This window comes from Homo sapiens, chromosome 5 (assembly GCF_000001405.40).
Source record: "Homo sapiens chromosome 5, GRCh38.p14 Primary Assembly".
NCBI classification, from domain to species: domain Eukaryota; kingdom Metazoa; phylum Chordata; class Mammalia; order Primates; family Hominidae; genus Homo; species Homo sapiens.
The window spans coordinates 61,269,914-61,278,656 of record NC_000005.10 but is presented as its reverse complement, the minus strand read 5'-3'; positions in this window follow the sequence as shown (position 1 = coordinate 61,278,656).

The window sequence follows — 8,743 nt, the reverse complement described above, 5'->3', positions numbered from 1 at the left end:
TCAGTAAAAGAAAAAAAATTCAGTCCCAACAATGTAACCCAAGAAGGAGAAGGTGGTGAATCTGATTGGTGCAGAGGTAGAAGTGGCAAGTGTGGTGCCCCCATATGGTCTCTAATCTAGAGTAGCTAGTGCTGCCCATGCCGGGTCAGTCTGAAGCCACAAAGGCTGGCACTGCACAACTACAGGGAGCATCATTCACAGAGACCAAGGTGGGAATGTCAAGTGGGAAGCTTGGCTTCACTCCTTGCTGCCGCCTCTCTAGATGCCACCCTAATAATAATAATAGCAGCTAACATTTATTGAGCACTGACTAGATGCCATGTATTTTATGTGCGACATCTCATTGAGTCCTTGCAGCCACTCCACGACCTAGGTAACATTAATATCCCCATTTTATAGACAGTAGGGTGATCACACAATAAATTCGTTATCCCAAACAGGGCACCTTTTACATTTAAAAAAATTTTTTTTAGTAGAGATGAGGTCTCACTGAGTTGCGCAGGCTGGTCTCAAACTCCTGGATTCAAGTGATCCTCCCACCCTGGCCTCCCAAAGTGCTGGGATTATGGGTGTGAGTCACCACGCCCAGCCTCAAATAAGGCACTTTTGAGAGAGGAGGTGCTATTACTAATGACACTCGAACAACAGGTGTAAACCAGGTCTGACTCAGGCAAGGCAGAGCATGTAGTCACCCTCCACATAAGGGCCTTCAGGTGCAGGGCGCTGGCTTGCACAAGAACAAGGACGTGGCTGAGCCGGGATTCTTTGCAGTGTCAGCCACAGCGTGTTTCCACTGGGCAGCTTTATATCTTCGTCCTGGGCCTTTTGGAGTATCCATGGTTTTTTTTTTTTTTTTTTTTTCTGTAAAATGTGGTAATGAAATCTACTTCATATAGTTATGTAAGATTCAATCAGAGCAAAATACCTAAACTACAGGGAGGAGCCCAAAGCAGTAGTCACTCAATAAACCCCACTTCCTTTCCTCTAGCTCGCCTCTGTGTGTCCTCTGCAAATCCCTTCACTTCTCTGGCCTTTCATTGCCTCCCTCATGCAAGAACGGAGTTGGATTAAGGGGAAAACCTCCTCTCAACGCTGGCATTCTTTCTCCTCTGGTTCTTCTGGAGCCCATCTTTGTTCACTCATGTGCAGCAGGAGGAAGAGCCCTCTCCTCTGCTTTTAGTTCAGAGAAATGGCTTCTTTATTCATGCTCCTTTCACTTTCAGTACTTTCTCTGAGAGGTTGAAATGGTGGATGTGGGAGGCTGTTCTCCCCTCCTATTGTTTCCCTTCCTTTGCCATCGGCTTGTGCTGGAGCTCCTCCTGTGGGTCTCTCCTCAGTGTGGGGGCAGAAATACCAGAGAGTGAGCTGCTGTGCTGTGCTGGGCAAGGAACCCTTTTGGATTTGGGTTGATGGAATTTTTTTTCCCTGCAACTTCATACCTATCACTTTATCCTTTCTTGAAATCACAAAATGTCTGTACATAAAACAAACACACAAAAAAGCCATAAACTGCATTCAGAGGTCACACCATCATGCCAATGTAAGGACCATTTTTCCTAAGAACAAACATTCGAATTGAATTGAGAATCAACACCTTAATGAGTCAAAGGCAGTAGGAAGTGAGAAAAGCACACAAGGCTTATGGAATGAGATGGTTCCTGGAGACTGACAGAAATCCTCAGGGCAATGTGGCCTCCAGAACAGGCAAGGGTACCAGCATGCATTTTTCTTCCCTCTCCTTCTTTTCTTCCCTCCCTTCTATCTTAATTCTTTTCTTTGAGACACGGTCTCACTCTGTCACCCAGGCTGGAGTGCAGTGGCACAATGACAGCTCACTACAGCCTCAACCTCCTGGGCTCAAGGGATCATCTAGGACTACAGATATGCACTACCATGCCTAGGAAATTTTTTAATGTTTTATAGCAGGCCAGGTGCAGTGGCTCACACCTGTGATCCCAGCACTTTGGGAGGCTAAGTCCAGAGGATTGCTTGAGTCCAGGAGTTCAAGACCAGCCTGGGCAATATAGGGACACCCTGTCCCTAAAGAAAAATAAAAAAAAATAGCTGGGCGTGGTGGTGCACACCCATAGTCGTAGCTCCTTGGGAGACTGAGGTGGGAGGCTTGCTTGATCCTGGGAAGTTGAGGCTGCAGTGAGCTGTGACTGTGTTGCTGCACTCTAGCCTGGGTGACAGAGCCAGACCCTGTCTCAAAAATAAATAAATAAAAATAAAATTCTTTGTAGAGATGGAGTCTTGCTACATTGCCCAGGCTGGTCTCAAACTCCTGGCCTCAAATGATCCTCCCACCACGGCTTCCAAAGTGCTGGGGTAACAGGTGTTAGCCACCTCACCCAGCCCCTTCCTCATTTCAAAGCACCTACTTTGTTGCATTTCAGGAACTACTCTAGGCTCTGAGGGTTGGAATAAATAAAAAATAGTCATGCTCCCTGCCTTCACAGAGTTTTCACTGTAGCAGTGAGAGCGGTGTTGATCTAGTAACCACACAAATGTGTTAGATGGTGACCCTGAGGAACGCCATTGAAGGAGAAGTATGATTGGTGCCACAGCCTGCTTTGACCTAGTGAGGGAGGCTGGGCAAGATCTCCCTGAGGAAGTGATGAGGCTCGCACCGAGACGGGAAGGATGAGTCGGCGTTCCGGGCAGAGGAAGCAGCTTGTGTAAAGCCCTGAGGTGGAGGGAAGCTCCTCTAGTTTGAAGAACTGAAAGACAGCCAGGCATCTGGAGCTCTGAGAACAAAGGGGAGAGGGTGCAAGATGGGGCTGGAGAAGGAGGTAGGGCCCAGGCCACACCCAGTTTTGGAGGCCTTTTTACGGATTTAGGCTGTTCCTAAAAATCACGGGCAAATTTTGCAAGTGTTTTCAGCAGGAAGGTGTTATGATCAGAGTTTATTTGAAAGTGATAACTGCAGGAAAATGGATTCAATGGAGGCAAGAAAGGGAGCAAGGAAATAATAAGAAATAACAGTAGCTGGTGTGTACAGAGCATGCTACTTTGGGCCACGTACTGGTCTGTGACCTTTATACACATCGCCTCCTTCAGTCCTCACACAGCCCTGTGGGCCAGGGACTATCATCCCTCTCCTTTTAACAAAGAGGAGATTGAGACACAGAATCACTGGACCAGCGTTGGTTGGCTTGTAAGTGCTAGAACCAAGCTGAGACCCTGGTAGTCCCTGGCTAGAGCCTGAAGCTTAGTTACTACATCCCAGGGGCTCCTTCCTGCCCACAGGCTGGGCAGCAGACAGTAGGGGCTTGCATCAGGGTGGTGGCATGGACAGACCCATAATAATGGAAAGAACTGACAACACCCAGACCAGCAGTACGGGAGGGGAGAGTGAGAGCCAGGTAGGAGAGAGGGGAGGGAGAGCCAGGTAGCGGAGAGAGGAAGGAGAGCCAGGTGGGGGTGCAGCTCAGGGGCTGAAGCGTCTGGGAGGGGCTGGGTTTGAGGTGGCACACATATCCAAGAGCATGGAGGCTTCTGTACAGCCCTAGAGCTAAGGAAAAGAAAACAGATTTGATAATCCAGTGTGGGCACCCTTATTTTCTTTCTTTCTTTTACTAGGAATTCCAGGAGATCAGCTAAGAACTGCCTGCTTTGGTTCTCTTCTTTAAAAAACCAGACCTATGCCAGTTTTGTTCCTGCTTTATTTATTTGTTCAGCTTGATGTTTAATTTTTTTAGTTTCTAAAGGTTTTACTTTCACTGTGAGTGCACTGCTAAAAATTCTGTCTGAAGACTGCTTGGATTCACATGCTCATTGATTCTCCCTCCACCCATTTCAGAATTAACCTGAGCAAATAGCCATGTTTTCTAGTTCCCAAATTCCTCCACTTCTGCCAACTGACATTCTTAAATCTGACATTGGTCAGCCTTGACCCTTGGAATGTATGTATCATTTTATTTCAACAATGCACTTTAGATGTCTACATGTTAAAATTTCTTAAGCAATACAGGCTGTACTTTGTCAATAGCTGCTACAAAAATACATTTTAAAATACCCAGTTGCTACATTCTTGCCTAGAGATAATTTACTGGAAAACTTGCTGAAGAACAATCTTCTCATAGATTTCTATTAGTAATCTAATAGTTCAAACTACTGGACTACAAAGGCCTATTTGGCAAACCCATTCTCTGACACAATGACGTGGACATGCACACACACACAGTTTTTAAAGGGAAGATGAAGGCATGCATTATTGCAAACATGTTTTAAATTCTACAATATATCACCAGAGGGAGAACCCTAACAAGTTAGTCAGAATTAGAATTATAACTATGTAGAGTACCTTTGGCTGAGCTATTTTCCCTTGGTGATTCCACAAAGGCAGCAAGGCTCTGTGTATGTTTCTTTGTTAAAATACACTGTGAAATGGGGGTTGGTCGTGCATTCATCAGTTCATACAATGATTATTTGGCATTTACTATGTGCCAGAGTGGTGTATCAGGAGGGCTATGCTCCTTTTTTTTTTTTTTTCTAATACAGGTTCTATCTCTGCTGCCTAGGCTGGAGTATAGTGGCACAATCTGGGTTCATTGCAACCTCCACCTCCCAGGCTCAAGTGATCCTCCCACCTCAGCCTCCCAAGTAGCTGGGACTTCAGGTGCAGACCATCATGCTTGGCTAACTTTTTGCATTCTTTGTAGACACAGGTTTTCTCCATGTTCCCCAGACTGGTTTTGAATTCCTGAGCTCAAGTGATCTGCCCACCTCAGCCTCCCAAAGCGCTGGGGATTACAGGTGTGAGCCATAGCACCCAGCCATAAGCTCCATTTTAAACTTAATCTTGTGGAAGAATCAGAACTAAAGAAGCAATTCATTACAGGGCAATGATAGTTATGAAAGAGGAAGCACAAGATGCTATGGGAGAAACATCTAACCCAGGGTGAAGCTCATCAAACCAGGGTTTCTGGAGGAAGACAGATGAAAGCTGAGACATGAAAAATGAAGAAAACCTATCCAGGAGAAGAGAAAAGAAAAGAGCTTTCTAGGCAGAAGGATCATTGCATTCTGAGATTCAGAGTATGGAAGAATATAGAGTATTTAAAGAATGAAAGCAGTAAGGCTGGATCTTAGAATGCAAAAGATGGTTGGTGAATAAGATGAGGTCATGCAGGGTCTTGTAACCATGTTAAGGAACTTGGGATTTATCCTGAGGGTAGAGGAAGCCATTGAAAGGGTCAAAGCAAAGAGTGTAGAGAATTGATGGGGGAGGGGAAGGCTGGAGGCAGAGAGATCAGCTGTTGTAAAGACACAGAGAAACTGGTGGCAAGGACTAGGATAGTAGCTGAGAAGGCAGATTCAAATGACAATTGGAAGGCTGGCTATAGAGAGCAGGGGAAGGGGAAGATGAGAGAAAGACTCCCAACTCTTTGGCTTGGATGACAACACCATTCACTGAAAGAGAGAACACAGGTGCTGAGGCTGATGTGTCTATGGGGCGTCTAAAGCAGATGACCAGTGTAGAGTGAGTTAGTTGATGAATCTGCACTAAAAATATAGATGTGGTAACTGAAGCTAGTTAAAGGAGTGGAAGAGAGTGTTCAAGAAGAGGTGTCCAGTGATTTTATAATAGTAATATGCAGGTCACATGTGATTTTGGAGATGTAAGATGGGTGGGGATGGAGTCAGAAGCCAGACTGCAGAATGAGCAAAGGAAGAGGAGCAAATAATAGGCAATGTAGACAACTCTTTCGAGAAGATTAACCACAAAAGGGACTAAAGAGTCCAGGAGCAGCAGCGACAGGTGGTTTAGGAACTGGGAGACTGGTGAATTTGAATATCAATGAAAAAATCCAGAATAAAGAGAGGGGCTGAGGGTTCACCAAAGAGGGACAAAGTCCTGCTATGGATGGCATCCAGGGACTGGGAGAAGAAAATAAAGTGGAAAGGATGGATGTGGTGCAGTTAGAGTACAGTCTTGGCTGTGCACTGAGTTGAAGATGTTCTCACTGATGTTTTCATTTTCTATGTCAATGCAAAGCAAGATAATCTGTCAGGAATGAGAGGGAGAGGCCAGGTTCAGTGGCTTCTGCCTATAATCCCAGCACTTTTGGAGGCTGAGACGGGTGGATCTCTTGAGCTCAGGAGTTCAAGACCAGCCTGGGCATGTGGTGAAACCCCATCTCTGGTGGTACATGCCTGTAGTCTCAGCTACTCATGAGGCTGAGGCAAGAGGATTGTTTGAGACCAGGATATCAAGGCTGCAGTAAACAGTGATCACACATCACTGCTCTCCAGCCTGGGCAACAGAGGGAGAACTTGTCTCAAAAAAAAAAAAAAAAAAAAGAATGAAGGGGAGGCCAGGTGCAGTGGCTCACGCCTGTAATCTCAGCACTGTAGGAGGCTGAAGCTGGAGGATTGCTTGAGACCAGGAGTTTGAGACCAAATTGGACTAAATAGTGAGACCTCGACTCCATGAAAAATTTAAAAAATTATCTGGGCATGGTGGCACACATCTGAAGTCCTAGCTACTCTGGAGTTTGAGGTGGGAGGATTGCTTAAGCCCAGGAGGTCAAGGCTGCAGTGAGCTACAATCATGTCCCTGCACTCTAGCCTGGGTGATAGAGTAAGATGACCCTGTCTCCAAAAAAAAAAAAAAAAAAAAAAAAAGAGAGAGAAGAAAAGAGACTAAGGGAGAAGTTTGTAGGACAGGATAGAGGGATAGAAGAGAATGGAGAAAGTTTTCTTTAAAAAAAAAGTAGTATATTTTTAATTAAAATAGAAATACATACCTATGGTTTAAAAAAAATCCAGAAGAGTATAGTGAAATGTAAGTCTGTGCTCCACCCTAGCGGCCCAGCCCTCCAGCCCTCTCTCTGGAGGCAACCACCATGGCCTGTTGGTTCTTGTATCTTCTTTCAGAGATATTTTATGCCCTGCTCTGACCCACTCCTTTTCACTTAATATCATGTCTTGGAGATAGTGCCACATGAGCACAAATAAATCTACTCCATTATGAACCATGCTTTCTTTAACTGGTTCTTTGTGCATACTTTTGGGCTCACAGGTAAGAGTGTATACATAGGAAAAATATGTAGCCTTGAAATTTCCCTCTGAAGAGACTGTAGCTATTTACATTGTGTTATGCTCCTCCTGATCATAAACAATGCAAAGTATTAGTAAATATCTTTTTTATTTTACTCAGCCTGACAAGTAGAAAATGAAATCTTATTTTGCTTTGGGTTTTTTAAATTGAGAGGAAGAGAATTTTAAAAATATTTACTGGCCAATTTTGTCTCCTTGTGTGTGTGTGTGTGTGTGTGTGTGTGTGTGTGTGTGTGTGAACTGCCTGCTCATGTCCCGGCCCGTTTTTCTTTTGGGTCATTGGTCTTTTTCCTATTGATTTTTAAAAATGGAGAAGATTGAAGTGGATAAGAGGAAAAGGTTGAAGAGTGCTGGGCCTCCAGGGCACCCACCAGGGTCCCCCATTTCTGCAGAGGAGCTGCAGACAGAGCCCTGTAGGTTCTTTTTGAATTGAACATCTCTTAGTTGAACTGATGTCTGCAGCCTTGGCCTGTGATTTCTTTCTCCAAGAGGTTTACAGCTCCATGAGGCCTGCAAGGCAGAAGGGGAAGGAAGGAAATCCCCATTCTCGGAGTCTGCATTGTTGGCCTGTGAGACGGTGGGGAGAAGCCTGTGGAGGAGCAGGTATCTGGATAGAAACAGTCCCTGGCAGTGGGTGAAGCTCCCTGAAGCTCTGAGTCAGCTCAGACCTCAACACCTGGCTGCCCTGGGGAAGGGATTTCAGAGCCTCCTTGCTGGATCTTGGTGTTTACTTGTGGGCACAAGTGTCCTCTACTTGATCTACATGGTGTGGCCTTCCAGACCTCGAGTGGACCAGCCCATCTCTGGTCTACTCTATTTGGTCATTCTGGATGCAGTTCTTGATGCCTACCTGCCCCAAGCTGGGCACCTTCTCACACGGACTGTCACCACTGGGATCGCCCCCTGCCAGCCACTCTCCTGGTCCGCACCTAACCCTGGGCCAAAGGGCCAGAGGGCCGGAGGGTGAGGAAGCAGGGTGGGGCTGCAGCATCCTTGTTCTCAGCAGGTAACTGGCTCCCACCTGTGGCATTTCCCACAGTTCCACAGAGAAGGTTCAGGGCCTGGAAGCCATGTTATACCCTAAACTCCTCAATAGGAAGCCAAGAAAGTACCTTATCTCAGGGCAGAACTTGGAGCTTCTGTTACATATGAAATGTCAAAGAGATGTGAGCTGTTTTGTAAATGATCTTATCACAACATACAAATCATACAGTTAAAAATGACCTAAGAAGTGAAAGGACAGAAACACATTTCAAGCATTTATTAGCACAGGAGACATGCCAGGTGCACGTGACATTTGGCCCTTACCATACCTGATAAGTAGTGACCATTATTATCCCCACTTTGCAGATGACAAAAGGGAGGCTTGGGTCATTTAAGTAACTTTCTTTAAATTACAGGGCTAGAAAGTGGCAAGGCAGGCATTGGAACCTAGCACTGTCTAAGGCTATCACTCTATGCATCCATGTACCCACTGCATGAATGTAGCTGTGGCTAAAGAAGATCTTACAGACTCAGCAAGTAGCTTCATGTTTCTTGATACTTTGAAGATTCGTCTTTTCCTGAAAAAGAGGCCTGTCTAGGAGTTCTAGACAAAAACAGACCCACCTTGCCTTATTAAGCAGGGCCCTTACCTTAGACCAGCTGAGCGACTCTTTTGTCTATGGAGTTTCCATGG